Source organism: Homo sapiens, chromosome 5, assembly GCF_000001405.40.
Source record: "Homo sapiens chromosome 5, GRCh38.p14 Primary Assembly".
NCBI lineage: Eukaryota > Metazoa > Chordata > Mammalia > Primates > Hominidae > Homo > Homo sapiens.
Window position 1 is genome coordinate 77,740,516 of NC_000005.10, and position 23,682 is coordinate 77,764,197.

Sequence of the window (23,682 nt, forward strand, 5' to 3'; positions counted from 1 at the left end):
GGTGGTAGTATGGTAGTACCATTGTCAGAGATAAGAAGCCCAGGAGAAGATTGAGGGAGAGGTAAAATATAAAACCATTACCTTTTTTATCATGTTGTGTTTAAAGGATATTATGTGATATTAAGGTGGAAATGGCCAAAGGTAGCCAGTCCCACAGTTCAAGAGAGAGGTCTGGGCCAAAAACATAAATGTGGCAGTCATGAGCATATTGATAACTGAGGTCATGAGTGGGCAATATTGCTCATTGGAGTGCTGATGGAGTAAAAAAGGGAAAAAAGCCCCAGGTAGAACCTCAGAAAACATTTAAGTAAGGGTAAGCTACACTTGATCAAAAACTACATCTGTCTTATTCACTATTGTATCTCTGTCATTCAAACAGTACATGACATATATTGATGGCTCAATAAATTTTTGTTGCATAAATAACAGAGAAAAGAGTCAAAAATAATAATAAGGGGGAAGAATATAGCAGGAAACCAAAGCACTGAAGTATCACTGTAACAAGAAAACAGGATGAAAGCTTTTTATGAAAGTGGGAAAGGACAACTGTGTCAACTGTTACTAAGAAGGCAAGATAAAGGCTTTAAAAATTATGGGTGATCTTTTTTACTGCTACTACTAAGAAAAGAAATCAGACTACAATGGGTTAAGAAGTGACTAGGAGGTAGGGTTGTGGAGAAGATAATTCCTTTGCCAAGTGTGGTTCCGAGAGAGAGAAATAGGATAGAGGTTTTTGGTGTTGTTTCTGTAAGATAAAAGTGACTTCACCATACCTGAATGCTATTGAGAAGAAACTGGTAGAGGTTAGAGACACAGGATTAAGAAAAGACAAACACACAGGGCAAAAGGATAGGATTGAGATCACAGAATGTTGGCTTTCAATAAGAGGTTCAGATCTTTTATTCCAAGAGGAGGTAATAAGGATAGTAGGGGTGCGATGCAAGTAAGTCTGTAGGTTTGATGGTGCGTGGGGCACATACAAAGAGCACCTGATCCTACCATTAACCATGGAAGACTTCAAGAAAGAAGTAACAGCAAAAGAAAAAAAATAGATTTTTTTAAAAAAGTAATGATTAAAAAGAGACCTAAAAGTTAAGGACTAGTTAAGTATTATCCAGAGCAGATGGCTAGGGAGTATTCTAGTCAGAGGAAACCGAATATTTAATGAAAACCTGAAGGGAGATTTTATATTCAGAAGTTGATATATTTACCAAGTCCAACAATAAAGAGTAGGAAAGTTGGCTTGAGTTTAGAGTTGGCCCTTGGCTCAATTTCATTTGGGCTGCTGATATAGCTCAGGGAGAACTACCCTGAGCTACTCTGAATATCCCAATCAGAGTACTCTCTCTAATATTTGAGAAGAAGAATATTTGACGAACTGTGATCACTGATTCAACAGCCAGTCATCTATTCAGGAGTCAAATGCTTCATGAATAACTAAGTTCAAAGCATGATCCTTGATTCTGGAGACTGCAGAGAGAATACGGTATGTTTTATCACTCTTAAGGAACTCAGTCCTCTAATGGGTAGAATCAGTGAAATATTACCTGAGGCCCACAGGCCAAAGCAAATAAAGGTTGAGTATCCTTTATCCACAATGCTTGCGACAATCCACAATGCTTCTGATTTTGGATTTTTTTGGATTTTGGAATACTGGCATTATATAATACTTAGCAGTTAAGCATCCCTAATCCAAACATCCTAATTCCTCCCATGAGCATTTCCTTTGAGTGTCACGTGGACGCTCAAAAAGGTTTCAGATTTGGGGGCACTTCAGATTTTCAGATAAGGAATATTCAACCTGTAACAAGTACTCCCCCTTTTTGCACCTGACTCCCTCATTATTTTATGTCTCTTCCTCATCCCTCCCCTTCTTCTCCCAACATTTAGTGGCCATAAAATAAAAACATAGAAAATTTTAAACTTTTATTCTACTAACTGAATGCTGTTTCATATTTCTAACATCTCTAATTAAAAATTACATAAAGTCAACATTTTTTATTGTAAAGAAAAGAAAAAACAAAGTTATATTTGTAGAAGGCCCTTAATGGCGTTTTCCTGTATGTCAATGGCCTGAAAGGGTAATGACATTTGAGAACTTAACTTTCAGTAAATATACCAAAATGTTCAGGTAATATGATTTTAATTTTGCTGAAATACAATTCCGAAGGCTATATGAGCTGTGAAGATGGTATTCAAGAACAAGTCATCAATATGGTGAATGAGTCTGATAACTATCCAACACTCGATCTCAATGTAGCTCTTCTGTTCTTTGTTTTGTCCTTATGTTTGGTATTACTCTAGTTAATGAATTAAAACACAAACAAAAAACAATATTGTTTCTTTGAGAAAAAAGACCCAGAAATGGAGATCAATTGCTACTGTTAGTAATAACAGTAAGTAAAGGGATCTAAGAAAATCATTGTTTGCAAGTCTGGGGATTAGAAAAGATCTCTGAACACATCCCTCAACAAGATAGAAATTATCTACTGTATTTTACCCAGTCCCATGCCATCTTCTATCAATATGCTAAGCAAGAGCCAGAAAATTCTTAATATGACTAAAATCTGGAATCAGAAATTCTTAAAGATTTGATAATCAGCTACAAAAGCTAAGGCATTTTATCATACCATTAGACTCAAAATACCGGTTAGGAGAAATAAATGCCAGTGTCATAAATTACTACCTTACTAATGGATAGCATATAGCGGTTAGAGGTATGGACTAAGATACCTAAATTCTAGATTGTAGGACATATTTTGCTACTTAATAAATGTGTGCCCTTTGAAAGTCACTTAATCTGTATGTTAGCCAGTCCCTGGAGAAATGGACATTAAGATGAGACTAAACTTGGCAAGGATTTTATCTGGGCAAATATCCATGAGAACAGAAAATGGAGAGGAAGTTAGAGAAAGCTGGAAGAGTCATCAGACTACAATGCAGTTCTGACCCTGAGTGCAGATACGAGTGGGGAAAGGTTAGCAAGAAGCAACCTAGACTTCCCTGCAGTTTAAGGAAGGCTCAGCAAGAGCACTGGGAATCCTAAGGCTAAAGTCTGCCGTCAGGGGAATCCCATGTCTCCCAGGAGAAGGCCTCAGTATCCCTGCCGCACCCAGTCTCTGGCTGGCAGCAGCTCATGGGGTGCAAGACCTTGGGACAAATGTAGCAATGGGTTTCACAATCTAGTAGCTGGGGCCCTTAGTTAATTATGTTCCCTTTATACGGAGGTCTTCAAATTTCATTCTCATGACCACCACAACCTCTTCTGGGAGTTTTCACATCTATAAATACCCTATTTTTGTCCTTCCCATTTCACAAAGTTGTGCCAGGTACCATCGTAGGCACTAGGCATATAATGGTAAATAAGACAGATGTGGTCTCTGCCCTCAAAGAACTTACACTCTAGTGGAAGATCCAAAGAGGCAATTAAATACTGTGTGGACCATCCAGATTGTTACTCACTTGCAAACTTATTAATAGTATGACATATACAACTGAGTCCCAATTTATCAGCTTTATGTCTTACTAACTTCCCAACTCCACGGACCCTAAATGCTCCAGCCATCACATACATTTTATTGCCTCCCAAATGTAACATACTGATTCACACCTCCATGCCCTCATACCTATGGTTCTATCTAAAACATGACCTCTATTCAATCTCAAGATCCCACTCAAATGTCACCTGTGATAAGCCTTCCCTAATCCTAGAATAGTAGTTCTCAACATGGGCAATTGTGACAATTTCTGGAGACAATCTTGCTTGTCACAACTGTGTGTAGTGAGGGTTCTACTACCATCTAGTGGGTAGACGTCAGGGATGCTGCTAAATACCCCAATGTAAAGGACAGCCCTCCCTGCCCCCAGCAAAGTATTAGCCCAAAATATCGAAAGTGCCAAGTCTGAAAAACTGCCATAGAGGAAGTTTGTCATAACCTCCTCTGACCTCATGAAGCATTCTGTCCTTAACTACAGGACTTCTCTGAGCTTCCAGAAAACAGAATGTCTTATTCACCTTTTTTTTTTTTTTTTTTTTTTTGAGACAGAGTCTTGCTCTGTCACCACACTGGAGGACAGTGGCGCGATCTCGGCTCACTGCAACCTCCGCCTCCCAGGTTCAAGTGATTCTCCTGCCTCAGCCCCCCAAGCAGCTGGGATTACAGGCATCCACCACTATGCACGGCTAATTTTTGTATTTTTAGTAGAGACGGGGTTTCACCATGTTGGCCAGGCTGGTCTCGAACTCCTGACCTCAAGTGATCCACCCGCTTCGGCCTCCAAAAGTGCTGAGATTACAGGCGTGAGCCACTGCACCCAGCCTCTTATTCACCTTTCTTCATCCACAGTTTCCTCTCATATAAATTTGTCAAAGTATAAAAAGGTATAGCCAGTACACTGGTGTTACTCAACAGGTGTTCTCATCCTGGCTCTACCACTTCCCAGCTGTGTATCTTTGGGTACATTACTTAAACTAAATTTCTTCATCTGTAAAATGTGGGTCATTGCAACTACTTCACATTACATATTGTGAAAGTTAAATGACATACACATGAAGCGCTTAGCTAATGTAGATAACGGCACACAGTGAATGTTCAATAAATATCAACTAATGGTGTTGTTCCCATGCCTTTTTATGTTGCCAAAACAAGAAAAAGAAAGAAAAAGCTGGGGGCACAAGGCAGAGAAGGGAGATTTTAGAAGCAGAAAACATTAGTATTCAATAAAACAAGTATAAAAGTGATATTACCTTACTTTTATAATTATAAAAGAACTGCCTTTCCTATTTCAGTATTTTTCTCATCACTCATTGGTTTCAAAGCAGTACTTTGTAAATGTATTATTTGCAATTCAAAGAAATGCTGTAATATTTATTTGTAATTCAAAGTACTGTCTTTGCCACTAAAATTAGTCACAACTTTAGTTTTTCTTAGTAACAATTACAAGTATCACAAATTTCACAACTTTATCATAATATGAGGAAGACACTAGTCTGAATTTTCACAATGAGTTTAAACCTGAATATCTGATATTAAGGAATGTTAAGCTAGGGTGTATCATGAATTACGTGTTAAACAGCACTTACACTCTTTCAGCTAAGAACTGGTGATGGTATAGGGGGCCAATTTTGGCAAAAACTGAATAACAAAGTTCTGGTGAACAGTGGTCAATATTTAATATAGTGCCTTATACGTAGTAGATATTCTATAAATACCTGTTGAAATAAATCCAGTGAAGAAATTCTCAGGCTTAGGAAAATTTATCATAGTCTAGATTGGCAGTAACATTAGCAGCTGACAAGGGAGGTACTAGCTATCATTTCACATGTTCACTCACCAAAATTGTTGAACTCTGTTTATTGGAAAAGATTTATCCCTTGTGAAGAAAGTCAGGGACTTTTAATTACTATGGTAACCAATTAAAAGTGTAAGAAAGATGAGCTTCTGTATGCTTGCTGTTGGGTAAAGGATTAGTTGTTGATATCTTCAAGTTTACTGGTCATTTCTGTTTCAATAGTAGTAAAACTTGCATAAGAAGAGTAAACAGTTTTTCATCCCTTTGGTTCCCAACGGGGCATTTCGGCCTTTAGAGATATCTGAAAGTTGCCATTCAAAACCTGTTGCACTGTTTCAGGCCCGGCCGTGGTAGCTCAGACCTGTAATCCCAGCACTTAGGGAGGCCAAGGAAGAAGCATCACTTACGCTCAGGAGTTCCAGACTAGACTGGGCAACATATTGAGGCCCCGTCTCTATGAAAAAAATAAATAAAAATAAATAATTTTTTTAATAATGAAGACTTGTTTTACTTTTTCAATTATTTCTGATTTATAAGACCCTAGACAAGTGGGACATTAAATTGTAAATTTTGATACTAAAATAACATAAAAAGGGTTTATTTTAACTATATAGAAAGTATTCTGGGATAAGGGAAGATTGTCATACTATGCACTTGATCTTAATCAAAAGACTAATCCTAGCAAAACTGCAATGCCCCAATACTACCTTGAATCACTAACTTTTAGCAATAAACTCAATTCCTATGTCTAAACCTCCTTTTTCGATATTAACTTGGTAGACTTAATAACACAAACTGTACAAAACAGTCTCATGAATATTTTGTTTCTTTTTTTCCTTAATTTTTGAATAGGGATGAGAAACAATAGAAAACCACTTTGTGCACGTATCATTCATTTCTTGTAGCATTACAAATGTACCATCTGGACCACAGATTAAGTACTATGCTTATTTTTAAAGAAATACCAAAGCCCCAAATTTCTGGTAAAGTCTAAATTTATCCAAATCGTATACATCATAACATTAATCAATCCAACCAACATTTTCTTCAACATTTACTTATATCATGCAGTTTCTTCGAAATAAAATTGTTTTAAAAATCAAGCCAAATTTCTAATAGCTTTATATTTGAAATTACTATAAAAACATAAAACAGCAAAAACTAAAGGACCAAAGTCTTCTACAGCACTTCTCTAAAGTGCTATAAAAGTAATGCACCTAAACAAAAATTTAAGCTATTATACTCTAATGTGGAGGGAGTCAGCATTAAAAGTTTACTTACATTTTTAAGAAAATTACACTTTAAAAATCCTCCTTCCTCATACATACATACACTTACCAGCCAAATCTCTAAAAATTAAATTTATTTCAGGAAAATAACAAATACTTAAAATTTCATAGATGACAGTACTAAAAAATCTGGGAAAATTCTGGTCTTACTATGTGATTGAAAAAAATCAAATCGAAGAACTACTACTTTCACTACATATAACATTGTCAGTGAAAAATACTAGCATTTATTCATTTCAAATAACTTCTACAAAAAAATTTAATTACAATAATCAAAACGTAATATAAAATATTTACTACATTAAGAACTCTTAAAGACTACATAGAATCTAAACTTTTAGAGCAGTTAGCGTTCCTAAAAAGTATTCTGGAAAATGCACTGTGCTATAAGAATCAGATATGGCAAGCGTCTATAACTGCTCACTAATGTATCAAAAGCTTAGAAAACAAATATAGAAGTGTTAGTCTTTCTTTAAAAGACTAATGTCTATTAACAGCTTAAAACAGGGCACAGTAGGGGGTTAATATGTTGTTGTCCGAATCACTTTCATCAGTTTAAGTACCTATTAGTTCTTATTAGCAATGAGCTAGCAAGGTGCTATTGGTCTTTTAAAGTTTTTTCTGCTTCTTCTTATTCTATTTGGCTAGATAGATACTTTGGCAATAGTGTTTGAAACATGAAGTACAGATTCGTGTTTTTGTTTAGATTTTAGATTTTTGAATTTTAGATTTGTATTGAAAAATGTTTTCTCCTTTTAAGACTACATTCAGAAGGAAACTTGTTCAGCATATCTGTATGGTTAATTTGTTTTTATCTTATAATTTTCAAAAATATTCAACATAGTCTCCAAAATTTCTCCAAAGGGGAGAAATCAAGATGATCTTCTCAGAAACTAAAGCAATTCATATGCAAAGCCTCTTGAGATCACTAATACAGAACTGTTTACCAAGCTAACTTAGTTTCTAGCATAAGCAATGGTTATTCTTCAGCTATCACAAAATTATTTAAAAACTGAAATTCAAATGATAAAACTGAAAAAAATGGTTGAAGTTCACTGAACCTAGTTTCAAGGACTAAATGTTAAATAAAATCTAAGACTTAAAAAAATTTCAACAAAAAAGCCATTCTGAGGAATCCACATCTGTGAAATAACTGTAATGTAGTAATATGGAATGTTTCCCACAGTTCTGGCTCTACCAGTAATTAGCTGGGTAATCCTGAGCAAACTAATTACCACCTACTTCTCTTGTCTATTTCTGCGTGTGTGTGGAGAGAGAGATATGGAGGGGGAGAGAGGAATATGGGGGAGGGAGAGACTCAGAGACAGAAAATGAGAATATCTAAGAATCTCTAAGGGATACTTCATCAGCTCTACGATTTAGTTTTGCTTTTTTTTTTTAAGATTTTCTCCTTTTAGAACTATATTCAAAGTGAAATTAATTTAAATGGGTTAGCATCTCTGCCGGCCTAATTTGTTCTTATCTTAAAATTTACAATGATGTAGAAAGTACTTTCCTAAAAAAGCTAAACATACTTGGGCATTGCCACTTCTTGTACAGTTGACCCTTAAACAATGGAGACAGAATAGAAGTGCTGACCCTCCTAATGTTTGAAAATCTGCATAAAATTTTTGACTCCCCAAAAACTTTACTGATAACCTACTGTGGACCAGAAGCCTTACCAATAACATAAAGTCAATTAACACATATTTTGTACGTTATATGTATTACATGCTGTATTCTTACAATAAAATAATCTGGAGAAAAAATATTAAGACAATCATAAGGAAGAGAAAATACATTTACAGTATTGTACTGTGTTTACCAACACCTTAAGTTTATGTTGCCTGTTTACAAGAGGAACCATCTGCCTGAAATGGTGGCAAATGCAGCCACAGACCTCAATCTACAGGTACGTATCAAGCAATTCAACTTTTTCTTGTAATGTCATGACTTTTCTCTGCTTCTTTGGGGCACTTTCAGCACCACTAGTGGGTCCCATGGTGTTATTCAAGATTTACATTCAAGGTTTACATTATTGCACTAAACACAAAAAATACATGAGAACCGCGAGAGATCACTTTTTAATGTTAAAACACAATTTACTGAAGAGATGAACTGTTCACAAGAAGGTGATGAGTGTCAACACTGAGTGAGTCACAACAGCAACAAGAGGTGGCTACAAAATTATTACAGTAGTACAGCATGGACTACAGTTATTATATGCGTAATAATACTGCATCTTTACACTTGTTTACATTTCTCAACCACAAATTATGCTATGCATGTTCTGTGTTTATATGTTTTGATAAATTTTAACTTTGTATAACAGATGTGTGCATATTTTATGGTAGCAAATGATAAAATGGACTAGTGTCTACACATATTTCATATATTTATGACATACCTAACTTTGTTTTAATTTCTTTGATATTTCAACTGTACTGTCTTACAGTGTAATTATTTCCAGACCAAAAGGCCGTGTTAACAAAATACTGTATAAATCATTAGTAGAACTATAAATAGTCAATAGAACTCTTTAAGGCCAATTTGCCAATATCTCTCAATACGTAAAACACACATAGTACCCTTTAAGCCGGCAATTGCACTTGTAGGAATTTATTCTACAGATAAATCTGCCAATTTGTAAAGCAACAAACAAGGAAATTCACAGTAGCATTTTCCAAAACAGCAAAACTTTGGAAACAATATAAAGGTCCATCAATAGAAGACTAGTTTTTTTTAAATGTGGTATGTCCATTCCGAATACTTTGCAGTCTTTAAAAGGAACGAGGCTGCTCTACATGTTCTAATGTTAAATGCAATGTAAAAAAGTATCTAGAAAGTATACTACCATTTGCATTTGAAGATATGTATGTAAATACTTGTGCATGCACAGAACATTTCTGGAAAGAGACACCAAAAAATGAATAATGATGTTCGCTCCAGGAGGGTTTCTCAGCTGGGTGGCTGGTGGACAGGGATTCCTGTTTCCTGTTTCACCGTATACCTCTTTGTACCTTTGCAAATTTGTGCTCTCTCTCTATATATATAGAGAGAGAGCACAAATATATATATATAGCACAAATACATATACACACACACATATTTGTGCCATGTATGATATACATATGATATATATATCCTATTCAAAAAATTACTCAAATATTTTAAAATATATTAAATTTTAAAGGGACATAAGGAGTAAGACACTGTTTCTGTCCTCAAGAAACTTGAAATGTCACAAAGTAAATTCATTCATTTTACAATATTTATCAAGATTTCTTTTTGTGCCAGGGCTCTGGGGATGTGTTCCTGACTCACGAAGTTTATACTAGTGGAGATTAATGTACAATACTATGGTGTCTAAAAAAGGTCTAGTCCAAGTAAAGCAAGAATCAGAGAGCAGACTTCTGATAATCTCAGTTTTCACATCACTATCCAGAAGTAAAACTAGTCTGAGTTCACCTAAAATAATTAGTAGTAGCAAAAGAAGCAGTGACAGACATAAGCAGAAGCTATTGAAAAGAAAAAAATAGTAAGAGGCACATTTGGCCAACAATATCACCTTTGTGAACTCAAAATATCAGAGACAAGTCTCTGTCAATTTAGAAATTTTATTTTGCCAAGATTAAAGACGCACCAGTGAAACAGACTTCAGGAGGTCCTGAGGCCAGGTGGTCCGGGTACAGCTTGCTTTTGTACGTTTTAGGGAGACATAATACATTAGTCAACACATGTAAAATTTACATTGGTTTGATCTGGAAGGGTGGGACAACTCAAAGGCAAGGTGCTTCCAGGTCATCGGTAGATTTAAACATATTCTGATTAGCAATTGGTTGAAAGAGTTATTATCAGTAGAAAGGAGTGTCTGGGTTAAGATAAGGGTTATGAAGACCAAGGTTTTGTCATGCAGATGAAGCCTCCAGGTAGCAAGCTTCAGAGAAAATAGACTGTAATTGTTATCACACTTAAGGTCTGTTGATGTTAATGCTGGAGGGGTATAATGAAGCCTGTCTGACTCCCAGTTCCCATTACGGCCTGACCAGTCTTTCTTTCTTTCTTTTTTTTTTTTTTTTTTTTTTTGAGACACAGTTTCGCTCTTGTTGCCCTGGAGTACAATGGCGCAATCTCAGCTCACTGCAACCTCCGCCTCCCAGGTTCAAGTGATTCTCCTGCCTCAGCTTCCTGGGTAGCTGGGATTATAGGCGCCCACCACCACGCCCAGCTAATTTTTTGTATTTTTTAGTAAAGACAATTTTTTGTATTTTTTAGTTTCACTATGTTGGCCAGGCTGGTCTCGAAATCCTGACCTCAGGCGATCCACCTGCCTCGGGCTCCTAAAGTGCTGGGATTACACGCATGAGCCACCGCGCCGGCCAGCCTGACCAGTCTTTCAGGTTAAATTTTAGTGCCCTGGCCAAGAAGGGAGTCCATTAAGATGGTTGGGGGTGGGGGAGGGTTCCAATTTTATTTTTGATTTACATTCTCCCCAGAGGAGATGTGGCCAGAGGCAACATCAATGGCCACCAAATCTTAATTTTGTCCCATAGCACTGTAACCGCCCAAGGGGTTCACCCTGCCCACTGCCTAGACAGAGCCAATTCATCAAGACAGGGGAACTGCAAGAGAAAGAGTAATTCACATGGAGCCAGCTGTGTGGGAGACCAGAGTTTTATTATTACTCAAATCAGTCTCCCTGAGCATTCAGGGATCAGAGTTTCTATGAATAATTTGGTGGGTGGGAGGAAGCCAGTGAGCCAGGAGTGCTGATTGGTTAGAGATTAAATCATAGGGAGTCAAAGCTGTCTTCTTGCGCTCAGTCAGTTCCTGGGTAGGGGGTGCCACAAGATCAGATGAGCCAGTTTATTGATCTGGGTGGTACCAAGATCATCTGGTCCAATAGGCTGGTTGCAAGAATAACCTCCTGTGCATCTGGATCACATATACTCGTCAGCAATTGTTTAATTGCTGTGGGTCCTGCATCAACCCAAACAAGCTCCTTCATTTTGCAGCATTTACAATTAAGAAATTTGTCCTTAAAGTAGTTATTTTTACAATCCATTATAGTAAAGGTTTCTCAGGAAGCTGATGATACCAGCCTACGAAATGGAACAATTTGTTTACATTATACCATATGGTTTAATAGTTACTTGGTTTTACCCTTCCCCCACATTAACTATCTTCTCTGTAACCACAGGTCTCAGAGGTAACTTTTGTTTAGTTTTTTCTTTTTATCCATTTAGGTTTATCTGTATAATTTTTTCCTTCCTTCCTTCCGATTTTCCTTTCTGGCTTAGTTTTTTCTTTTTATCCATTTAGTTTTATCTGATCTCCGCTCACTGCAACCTCCGCCTCCCAGGTTCAAATGATCCTACTGCCTCAGCCTCCAAAGTAGCTGGGATTACAGGCACATGCCACCATGTCCGGCTTATTTTTGTTTTGTTTTGTTTTGTTTTGTTTTTCTTTTTTTGAGACGGAGTCTCGCTCTGTCGCCCAGGCCGGACTGCGGACTGCAGTGGCGCAATCTCGGCTCACTGCAAGCTCCGCTTCCCGGGTTCACGCCATTCTCCTGCCTCAGCCTCCCGAGTAGCTGGGACTACAGGCGCCCGCCACCGCGCCCGGCTAATTTTTTGTATTTTTAGTAGAGACGGGGTTTCACCTTGTTAGCCAGGATGGTCTCGATCTCCTGACCTCATGATCCACCCGCCTCGGCCTCCCAAAGTGCTGGGATTACAGGCGTGAGCCACCGCGCCCGGCCTCCGGCTTATTTTTAATAGAGACGGAGTTTCACCATGCTGGCCAGGCTAGTCTCAAACTACTGACTTCAAGTTAATCTGTCCACCTCAGCCTCTCAAAGTGCGGGGATTACAGGTATGAGCCACCGCACCCGGCCTAATTTTTTCTTTATTTTAAAGCAACTCTTAAAAAAAAATTACATTTTCTTTAGCAAAATCCACATCCTTGTGTTTTATAAACTTCACTGAAAACATGTTCTACACTCCTGCTACCTAACTCCTAAGAACCCAAATTCCCAGTGGGGGAGAAAAAAAAATGAGGTTTTAATTTAACAAAACATGACCTTAAGATTTTAAACTACTGAAGAGAATTTTGAGATCAAATTTACCAAATTAACCTTACCAAAGATTACCAAAGTCATGTGAATTAAAAGGCATGTGAGCTAGCTTCTATCAGAATGGCAAGCCCTTACTTTTCTTTAAGTCAATTGATTAGAGCTCTTTCACACAGTTTAATAGTGAAGTATCACTTTCTCCTGACACATATACAGATATAAGAGACATGCAGACAAAAGCAGATCCAACATTTTTCACCTGCTTTTTTAAAAACATTCCCTCCCTTACTTTAAACCATTAATTTAAAAAATGTTACAACAAAAGCTGAAGCAGAAAGTTACCATCCCAGGCCTTCATAAAAGAGAGAAGGAGGTAAGGCAGCAGGGTATAGCTTCTGAGATATCGTGAATAACTTCAAAATGAGACAGATTACAGAATTTAAAAATTAAAAACATCTTGCTTTGAGTAACTATTTTTAATGACATCTTGTTTTAACCAATTATTTAATTCTGTATTAGGGTATTTTTAATATCAAAGTTCAATTTTAACAAAAACTATTATAGTTTCCTTTAATTATAGCCAATTAATCACATAATATTTTTTGTTTGTTTTCATTCTCGCTCTGTTGCCCAGGCTGGAGTGCAGTGGTGCCATCTTGGTTTACTGCAACCTCTGCCTCCTGGGTTCAAGTGATTCTCCTGCTTCAGCCTCATGAGTAGCTGGGATTACAGGCATGCACCACCACACCCGACTAATTGCATTTTTAGTAGAGACAGGGTTTCACCATGTTGGCCACGCTGGTCTCGAACTCCTGACTTCAAGTGATCTACCTACCTTGACCTCCCAAAATGCTGGGATTACAGGTGTGAGCCACTGCCCCCAGCCAGTCACATAATATTTGTATAAATTCCTTTTTTATTAACCTTATTAAAACTTAGACCATTCACAGCATGTCTGGACTCTATGGCTTGTCCTGAATATTTCTCTTTCTTGAAGAACCCAGTCATTTTATTTTAGGATAAAAATTCACCATACAAGACTCTTTCTCACATAAAATTACTTTTCTTTAACCTTTCTTACCAAAAATACCTATTTATTTCTATAACTTTCTTTACATCTCTCTTACTTCCTGGTCCCTTTTACCTTGTTTTATACATAACCTTTAAATAAGCTTTGAATTAGACAAATTATTTACCTTTTAATAAGAATATATTTTTTAGAATGTTTTCCTACAATGCGTTTTTTAAATTGAAAAATATCCAGACATTTAATGAAATATTCAGTATAACTTTAGATTCTAATTTATGACAAGTTTATTTACAAGTATTTATTCCACTACATTTACTTAACAGTTTACCTAGATTATTTATGAAAACTGTGACAGTCATCATGTAAAGTTATTTCCCTGTCAACCATTTTTATATCCTGTGAATTTTGGGTGATTACCTAAGTAAGAACCTTAAGATTATATACAGGGTTATTTTACCAGTAATTCAAGATATAGCTGTTTTCATTAAACCAATATTAATGTCTTATTAAAAATTACACAACCAAAGATCATTCTGGTTTTGGCTGGGTTTATTTTTTAAACCTTAGAGTATTTGGCAGAGATAAAAATGAAATTGTTTCATCAATAAATGCAAACAAAAATGCTGACAATTCTTAAGACATTTCTAATATTATTTTACCAATAATTTAAAAGTTACATTATTAAATATTTTACTTCAGTCATGTGAACTTGAAAAGTATTTGGGATTATTATTTAATTTATGAGTACTCTTTTAGCTAAATTTGGTACCTTGCGGCCAAAAACACACAACAAAATACATGTAGCTATACATAAACACACACATACTCATAAAAACAAAGTTCTACAGCTTTTACTTCAGAACTCTAGCCATGAGATAGTAATACAAACTCACTGGTTTGCAAAAACAATAACAAAAAGAAATGGTTGGATTCATACAGTGGATTTTATCTCAGTAGAAAAGTAGCAGCAGACTTAAAGCAGGCAGAAAAGAAAGCAGAGAGACAGAGAACTTAGGAATTTTATAGTTACAGGTTAACCTTTGGGATCTGACTCTTCCTCAATGTAATTTGCCCATCAGTTTAAAATGTGCACAAGAGGCCAGGCACGGTGGCTCACACCTGTAATCCCGGCACTTTGGGAGGCCAAGGTGAGCAGATCATGAGGTCAGGAGCTCAAGACCAGCCTGACCAACAAGGTGAAACCCTGTCTCTAATAAAAATATAAAAATTAGCCGTGTGTGGTGGTGCACGCCTGTAATCCCAGCTACTCAGGAGGGCTGAGGCAGAATTGCTTGAACCTGGGAGGTGGAGGTTGCAGTGAGCCAAGATCATGACACTGCACTCCAGCCTGGGCACAGAGCGAGACTCCATCTCAAAAAATAAATAAAAATTTAAAATAATAAATAAATAAAATGTGCACAAGAACAGACCTAATATGTAACTAGCTGGAGTATTAGAAAACCTGGCATGCTCTTCCATTTATATAACCATTTGCAACTAGAGGCACCATAAAACCAAATAGGGGCCGGGTGCAGGGGCTCACACCTGTAATCCCAGCACTTTGGGAGGCCAAGGAGGGCAGATCACCTGAAGTTCGGAATTTGAGACTAGCATAACCAACATGGAAAAACCCTGTCTCTACTAAGAATACAAAATTAGCTAGGAGTGGTGGCGCATGCCTGTAATCCCAGCTACTCAGGAGGCTGAGGCGGGAGGATAGCTCGAACCCGGGAGGCGGAGGTTGCGGTGAGCAGTGATGGCACCATTTGCATTCCAGCTGGGTCAACAAGAGCGAAACTTTATCTCAAAAAACAACAACAACAAAAAAAAAAACACAAATGGGTTGCCCAAGGGGGGTCGTTCTCCTTGTTTTTCCTCATTATTAGATGATTTGTTTGTCACATTTTTTTAAAAGGAGGAACCAGACCGCAGCCTAGGATTTCGTGTAGTGGGTCCAAGTGTGCTGATTGTGGGGAGGACTCAACAGTGTGTCACCATGGAGTCATTTCCACCCTCCTACGTCTCAATTTTTCTCTCCAGAGGTCTAGCACCTTCCAGAGGGCTCAAAGTGCAGAGTGACCAGCTCCTATATGCATTTCCTAGACAAGCCTTTTTAAACTAATTGTGTTGGGAGTTCCCTGTAGGGCTGCTGCACAAGTCACAAGGGGTAAACCCCCCAGACACTCCCATTGGGCTCCCGGTCACTCAGAGGCACCTTCTGGTTGGGAGGAGCACAATGACCTTTATCTTCAGAGCTGAGGAAACACAATCTCTCATTTATCTATGAAAATGACTTTTCAGTTTCTCAGGTGAATGTGCAGACAAGCCAATGGAGATTAATTTTGGAAGGAAAGGCAATGAAGACTTTAGAATCTTCTAAAGAATCTTGCCCGCTAGAATTAGCATCCTAAAGAACAACTTCCTAAGAGGAAAAAAAAAAAAAAACAGCTAGGACTGCTTCCTATAAATTGTCCTCAGCCACCTTTAACTTTGTAGTTCTCATCCACCATTACACACACCAAGGTCAAATCCTTTCACTGTACAGGGTAGTCTCTGGAACCCCCGAAAGCCAAAGAGATCAGGTAATGCAATATGGGAAAGCAGAGCGTTAGACCTAAGAAGAATCTGCCCATGACCCTTGAAACTCCACAAACAGAACACCCCAAAAACAGGTGAATGCACCTTTGTTGTGAGTTCTTTAAGAGTTCGAGTCATTAAAAGCCTTCTCTAGACCTTTTCTTGGTACCAAAGATGGCAAAAGGGGTAAGGAGCAATAGAGTGTAAGAAAAGTAATGAAAGAACAATTTTTTTTTAAGACAGGAAACAAATACAGAAACCAAGTGCTTGGTTTTATTCTGGTTTTCTTTTTGCAAGTGTAAGGAATTTTAGCCAATTCAGAGGCTTTGTTCCCCATAATTTGGAATTCTCATTCAGATCTGACCACGTCAGGTAGAGTTGGTCAAATCTGATGGGACAAAGACCAGAACAACAACAACAACAAAAAATCCAACAATATGATTACAGAGTGCTCTAATGGTAAGCAGAAATTAAGGCCAGCTGGTTGTTCATCTTAACTTTAGCCCAGAAAAAAACCCCAATTCAGCTACTTGCCTAGGAACGGGACCCCAGCTAAAGACTGCTCTCTAGCATCCTAGAGGCAGGAAAAAAACTCAAGCTCGCCTTTCCTGTTGGAAGTGAGCTGAAACTTCAGAAAGGAGTTAGTTACCTGCCTTCCACCATCATGGAAGCAGGAAAACTTGCCTTCCTTGTTGGAAGCAAGTAAAATTCCAGAAAAGGAGTTGTACAGCAACAACAACAACAAAAAACAACTTTAGATCTCAACCAAATTTTGGGACATCAGGGATTCTCTGGAGGCAGGGGTTCCTAGGCCTCAGCCAATTGTCCTGTTGGTTTGAGCCATAAAGATAGCCCAAGCTGGTACCAAGCACCAATAGATTTGTCAAAGGTCAGAGCCACCTCCACTCAGAATCCCTCCCGTGGTTACCAAACATGAATTCAAAATATCTGAGACCAGTCTCAGTCAATTTGGAAAGTTTATTTTGCCTAGGTTAAGGATGTGCCCGTGACATAGCCTCAGGAGGTCCTGATGACATGTGCCCAAGGTGGCTGGAGTACAGTTTGCTTTTATATATTTTAGAGAGATACAAGGTCAAGGGTAGAAGGTATCTGAGTCTCATGGCACCAAATATGTTAGGGGTGGCAAATCTGTACGGGTCTGCAGCAATCTCAATTCTTGCCTCCTCAGAAGAAAGAATTCGACTGAGGGGTATAAGGTAGAAAAAGAGAATGAGGCAAGTTTCAGATCAGGAGCAGAAGTTTATTAAAAAGCTTTAGAACAGGAAAGGAAAGTACACTTGGAAGAGACCTGAGAGGGTAACCTAAAGTACAAGTGTGGCGTTTGACCTTTTGATTTGGGGTTTTATATGTTGGCATGAGGGAAGAGAGAGACCCTCTCATATTGTTTTATATTGTTTTATACTCAGTACCTGTTTTAAGAAAAAAACAAGAAAGTGAAATCAAAGACAGGCGGCCTGGCACCAGGCCCAAAACCAGGCCTGGGCCTGCCTGGCCTAAACCTAGTAGTTAAAAATCAACTCACGACTTAGAACCTGATGTTATCCATGGATTCCAGGCATTGTAAAGAAGAACATTTTGAAACTCCCTGTTCTGTTCTGTTTCACTCTGACCCCTGTCACATATCCCCTAGATTGCTTAATCAATCACGACCCTTTCATGTGAAATCTTTAGTGTTGTGAGCCCTTAAAAGGGACAGGAATTGCTCACTCGGAGAGCTCGGATTTTAAGACAGTAGCTTGCCGATGCTCCCAGCTGAATAAAGCCCTTCCTTCTACAACACGGTGTCTGAGAGGTTTTGTCCACGGCTCGTCCTGCTACAGGCATACTTCCAGGGTCTTGTGTCCCTTTCCCCATGACTCTTCACTTAGTGTGGGCTGCCTTCATGTGTAGTGCTCTCCTTACACTTGGGAGGTGAGCATGCACAGTGTGTTTAGGAAGTTGTATGTATGCCTGCCTGAGGCATTCTTCCTTCTTCCAGTGGAATGCCCCCAGGTCATTCTCTGCCATTTTCTCTTAATGCACATGCCCGGGTTCACTTGCTCAATTCCTAACATTTTATTGGAGACTGACTGCCAATTTTAAGTATTATCTGTTTGGGAAATTGCTGCTCCCTGCTGTCTGTGATCAATTATCACTTTAGTGTGACAACCGGGGACCATCAGGAAACTGCTTCTCCCTGGCACCAACTGCCGATTATCATTTTTAGAGAGGCAGTGGGATAACTGCCAAACCATCACCTGACGGTCACCTGACACTCCTGGTGGGGGGGTAGGTGGGAAACCCTTTCCTGCCCACCTCATGCCTGGCTATAGCTACCTACTGTAACAATAATATATCAGTCAATACATGTAAGATTTGCATTGGTTTGATCTGGAAGGGCAGGACAAATCAAAGAGCGGGGACGCTTCCAGGTCATAGGTAGATTTAAACATATTCTGATTGGTAATTGGTTGAGTTATTATCCGTAGAAAGGAACATCTGGGTTAAGATAAGGAGTTGTGGAGATCAAGGTTTTATCATGCAGATGAAGCCTCCAGGTAGCAGACTTCAGAGAAAATAGATTGTAATTGTTTCTTATCAGATTTAAGGTCTCTGTTGATGTTAATGCTGGAGGGGTATAATGAGGTATGTGCGACTCCTACTTCCCATAATGGTCTGAACCAATGTTTCAGGTTAAATTTTACAGTGCCCTGGCTGAGGAGGGAGTCCATTCAGATGGTTATGGGGGGCCTTTGAATTTTATTTTTGGTTTACGCATCAAAGCAAGAGATAAAAAATTTAAAGTAAGCATAAAACCAGGTTATTACACAATATAATCCAAGCATTTTCCAATTAAAGACTCAGTTATGCTGCAAAGATGCCTATTAATGTGAGGTGTTTAGGCATCTCAGTAGGCATTTTCCATAGGAAAAATGTTACACTTGGTGTTAAACTTCAGAAGCATCCCACAAAAGCCTATTTAATGTATTTCAATGGGCATGAAACATGATTCACAGAATACTATGTATACTTTGTATAAGTATGTATACTTATACAATATACTTATAAGTATGCATAATTAGTAAAAATTCAGAATTCCAACTTAGATGCCAAGAAGGCCTGCTAATTCATTACAGTCCTTGCCATTGAAGTGGTGACTATTCTACCTCCTAAGAGCTAAGATGAGAAACTAGAACAGAAGCAATGTCAGAGTTTGAGAATAAATGACTGGGATTCCAAGGCAAAATAGGTTTATCTGCCCTTTTTCTTCTTCTCCCTTTTATCCTCCTTAATCAGAGAACAGCACTGAACTGGACAAGAGTTGAGAGAAGAGGGGAGGGTTGAAGAAAAGACAGCATTTGATTCTCTTTCCTACTTCTAACACAGAGGATCAGTCCTCAATAGGACACTGAAATGGAGGGAAACTGAAAGGCTAAAGCTGAACCTAAAGCAACAGCAGAATTTAGAAGACATAGGAGGGAAGGAAGTAAATCCCTAGCCAGTTTATGTAAGGAAAAAAATCACTCTTTATGTTATACATAGGTATACATAAATTAGGAATTTGAGTAATTATTTCAATTAATACTCTACGGCCCTCCCTTCCTTCCTCCTTTTTCCTTTCCTTTCCTTTCCTCCTTTCCTCTCCTTTCCTCTCCTTTCTTTCTTTCGACAGTCTCCCTCTGTTGCCAAGGCTGGACTGTACTGCCGTGATCTCGGCTCACTGCAACCTCCCGGCCTCGGGCTCCCATGATTCTCCTGCCTCGGCCTGCCGAGTGCCTAGGATTACAGGCACGCGCCACCACGCCTGACTGGTTTTTGTATTTTTGGTGGAAACGGGGTTTCGCCGTGTTGGCCGGGCTGGTCTCCAGCTCCTGACCTCTAGTGATCCGCCTGCCTCGGGCTCCCGAGGTGCTGGGATTGCAGACGGAGTCTCGCTCACTCAGTGCTCAATGTTGCCCAGGCTGGAGTGCAGTGGCATGATCTCAGCTCGCTACAACCTCCACCTCCCAGCCGCCTGCCTTGGCCTCCCAAAGTGCTAAGATTACAGCCTCTGCCCGGCTGCCACCCCGTCTAGGAAGTAAGGAGCGTCTCTGCCTGGCCACCCATCGTCTGGGATGTGAGGAGCCCCTCTGCCTGGCCACCCATCGTCTGGGAAGGGAGGAGCACCTCTGCCCGGCCACCCATCGTCTGGGAAGTGAGGAGCGCCTCTGCCCGGCCGCCACCCCGTCTGGGAAGTGAGGAGCACCTCTGCCCGGCTGCCGCCCCGTCTGGGAAGTGAGGAGCGCCTCTGCCTGGCCACTGTGCAATCCTCCAAGTGTGAAGTGACAGCCTTTCTGCAGGTGTACCCAACAGCTCCGAAGAGACAGCGACCATCGAGAACGGGCCATGATGATGATGGTGGTTTTGTCGAAAAGAAAAGGGGGAAATGTGGGGAAAAGAAAGAGAGATCAGATTGTTACCGTGTCTGTGTAGAAAGAAGTAGACATAGGAGACTCCATTTTGTTCTGTACTAAGAAAAATTCTTCTGCCTTGGGATGCTGTTAATCTATAACCTTACCCCCAACCCCGTGCTCTCTGAAACATGTGCTGTTGTCAACTCAGGGTTAAATGGATTAAGGGCGGTGCAAGATGTGCTTTGTTAAACAGATGCTTGAAGGCAGCATGCTCCTTAAGAGTCATCACCACTCCCTAATCTCAAGTACCCAGGGACACAAACACTGTGGAAGGCCACAGGGACGTCTGCCTAGGAAAACCAGAGACCTTTGTTCACGTGTTTATCTGCTGACCTTCTCTCCACTATTATCCTATGACCCTGCCACATCCCCCTCTCCGAGAAACACCCAAGAATGATCAATAAATACTTAAAAAAAAAAATACTCTAATGCAAGTAACACGTTTTCAATTCAGGGAATTTAATCACTTTTTTTTTTTTTTGGCTAGTGTAACTAAAATGCAGGGAAGACCTGCTTGAAGGCTGGCTGATCCAGCCGTCCAACAGATGTTTCCATCAAGGACTTTGTTTTTGTCTCTTCACTCTGCTATTTATAATACAAGCTACCTCCCAAGGCCAGATGCTCTAGTGCTAAAAGAAGACTGCAGCCACAATCAGAGTTACATGGGAAAGTTTAATACTTCTGTCTCAGAATTCTAAGCAAGAGTTCTGAAATTTACCCTGTTTAGATTAGTCTAAATCACATGACCATGCAGAATCAGTTTCTGTGGCCAGGAAAACGGAATGCCTTTAATAAGTCTAATAGGCCCCCACCAAAGCTGCTGTAGGTGAGGCACTCTCCTTCAAAGAACACAGGCTATGTGCATGTGGGGAAGGACAGTAGATACTGGAATGAAAATACAGGTAGTTATCATGAAAAGCAAAATTACTGTGGAAGTAGCCAGAGTGTTCACTAGATGTTTGCAATGAAGACAGTCATCACCAAATACTATATACCATATTGCCCATTTAAAAGAAATGTATTAGAATTATTCTATTTATAAACAAAAGACAAAGTTGTCTCCCAAGACTAATTCTACTTAATGTAATACTAAAAATGCTAGCATAGTTTAAAAAGATTAATACGTAGAAAATGAAAATATCAATTTTAAGGTCTATTTATTTTCTTTTTTAAGAAAATAGTACTTTTTAATTGTGGTAGTAGTGCTGAGGACAAGCAGAGAAGATGAGGGGTATAATCTGCCAGGTTTTTAAATCTATGGCATTGGCAATTATAAACCACACGGTATTGGGTTAAAAACATTATCAACAAATAATTCAATCTTTCTTTAGAAATGCTATGCCAAACTTAAGAATTCAAGGTACCATAAGTCTAATTAACAATAATGAAAAGAACCACTCAAAAAGTATTATTATTGGCATTCTTTGGCTTCAGCTCCTGAAAAACAGAGCACCAAGAGGGTTTTCAGGACCCAGTATACAAACCACTATCTATAGGCCTCCCCTCACTCTCCACACACCCTTAACTAAGTGCACAGTCCTGGAAACAGGTAGGGCTGAAAGTCTCCCCTCTCCACCAGGGAAAAACTCTGGGTTGTCTAAGGTATATATGTACATCATTCTATACAAGGCAGAAGAAGATGATTAAGTGAGTGAGTGTGGGTCTGGAGCCTCACACCCTCTTTTTTTCTTTTGCTATTTATCTTGGAGACGCTTGTTTAAAAAGACAAGCGGCCGGGCGCGGTGGCTCACGCCTGTAATCCCAGCACTTTGGGAGGCCGAGGCAGGCGGATCACGAGGTCAGGAGATAGAGACCATCCTGGATAACATGGTGAAACCCCGTCTCTACTAAAAATACAAAAAAATTAGCCGGGCGTGATGGCGGGCGCCTGTAGTCCCAGCTACGCGGGAGGCTGAGGCAGGAGAATGGCGTGAACCCGGGAGGCGGAGCTTGCAGTGAGTCGAGATTGCGCCACTGCACTCCTGCCTGGGCGACAGAGCAAGACTCCGTCTCAAAAAAAATAAATAAATAAAATAAATAAATAAATAAAAAGACAAGCAAAACAATTTTTTTCCAAAATGAAAACTAAACAAAGACAGTATAATGGAGTAAAATTAAGAAGTCTATCAAGTATTGGAGAGGATGTGGGTCAATGAAAGGAATTCCCACATAATGCAGCTGGGAACATAAAAGGGTACAATCCCTTTGGAAGTCTGGCATTGCAAGCGACTAAATGTTTGTGTGCCCATCCCTTCCTCCCAACCCCAATGCCCCAATTCATATATCTTAACGTTCAATGTAACGCTATTAGGAGATGGGGTCTTTGGAAGGTAATGAAATCAAGAGGGTGGAGCCCTCATGAATGAGATTAGTGCCCTTGTAAAAGAGACCTCAGAGAGCTCTCCAGATCTCTTCCCACCACTCGAGGATACAATGAGAAGACAGCAGTCCTCAACCCAAAGAGAGCCCTCACCAGAATGTGACCATGCTAGCACCCTAAATCTCAGACTTCCAGCCTCCAGAACTTTGAGAAATAAATTCTATCATTTATAAGCCACCCAGTCTATGGTATGTTGTTAGGGCAGCTTGAACTAAGATACGCATCTTACAAGATGAATACTCACATACTTATGACCAAACGATTTCATTCCTGGGTATATACCCAAGAAAAACCCTCAGACATAATTAACAGAGACATGAACAAGAATGTACATAGAAACACAGTTAATAAGTGAAACAATCCAAATGCTCATCAATAAGAGGAATGGATAAATTGCGGTATTATCAAACAATGGAGTATTACACAACCATCAAAAAAATGTACTGCACCTAAGAGTAAAAATTTAGGGCTGAATCCTATCAACATAGGTGAAAAATGGTAAGTCCCAGAAAATGCCCTTCTTATAAAGTAAAAAATAACCAAAAGTAAATGACACGTTTTAGCAATACACAAATAAAATTATATTT

At 39.1% G+C, this 23,682-nt stretch overlaps 1 protein-coding gene across 3 annotated transcripts in view, besides 1 other annotated feature; it reads right to left on the bottom strand.

Moving 5' to 3' along the window:
- TBCA (tubulin folding cofactor A) overlaps positions 1-23,682 on the bottom strand; it is an 85,174-nt gene that overhangs the window by 49,350 nt on the left and 12,142 nt on the right. The gene's annotated exons all lie outside the window — the stretch shown is intronic.
- Positions 10,777-11,414: an enhancer, noted in NCBI's record as "NANOG-H3K27ac-H3K4me1 hESC enhancer chr5:77047116-77047753 (GRCh37/hg19 assembly coordinates)". NCBI's record gives its function as "activates a minimal SCP1, AML or CMV promoter by ChIP-STARR-seq in naive and primed H9 embryonic stem cells {active_cell/tissue: H9 hESC(naive and primed)}" and the evidence as "EXISTENCE:reporter gene assay evidence [ECO:0000049][PMID:30033119]".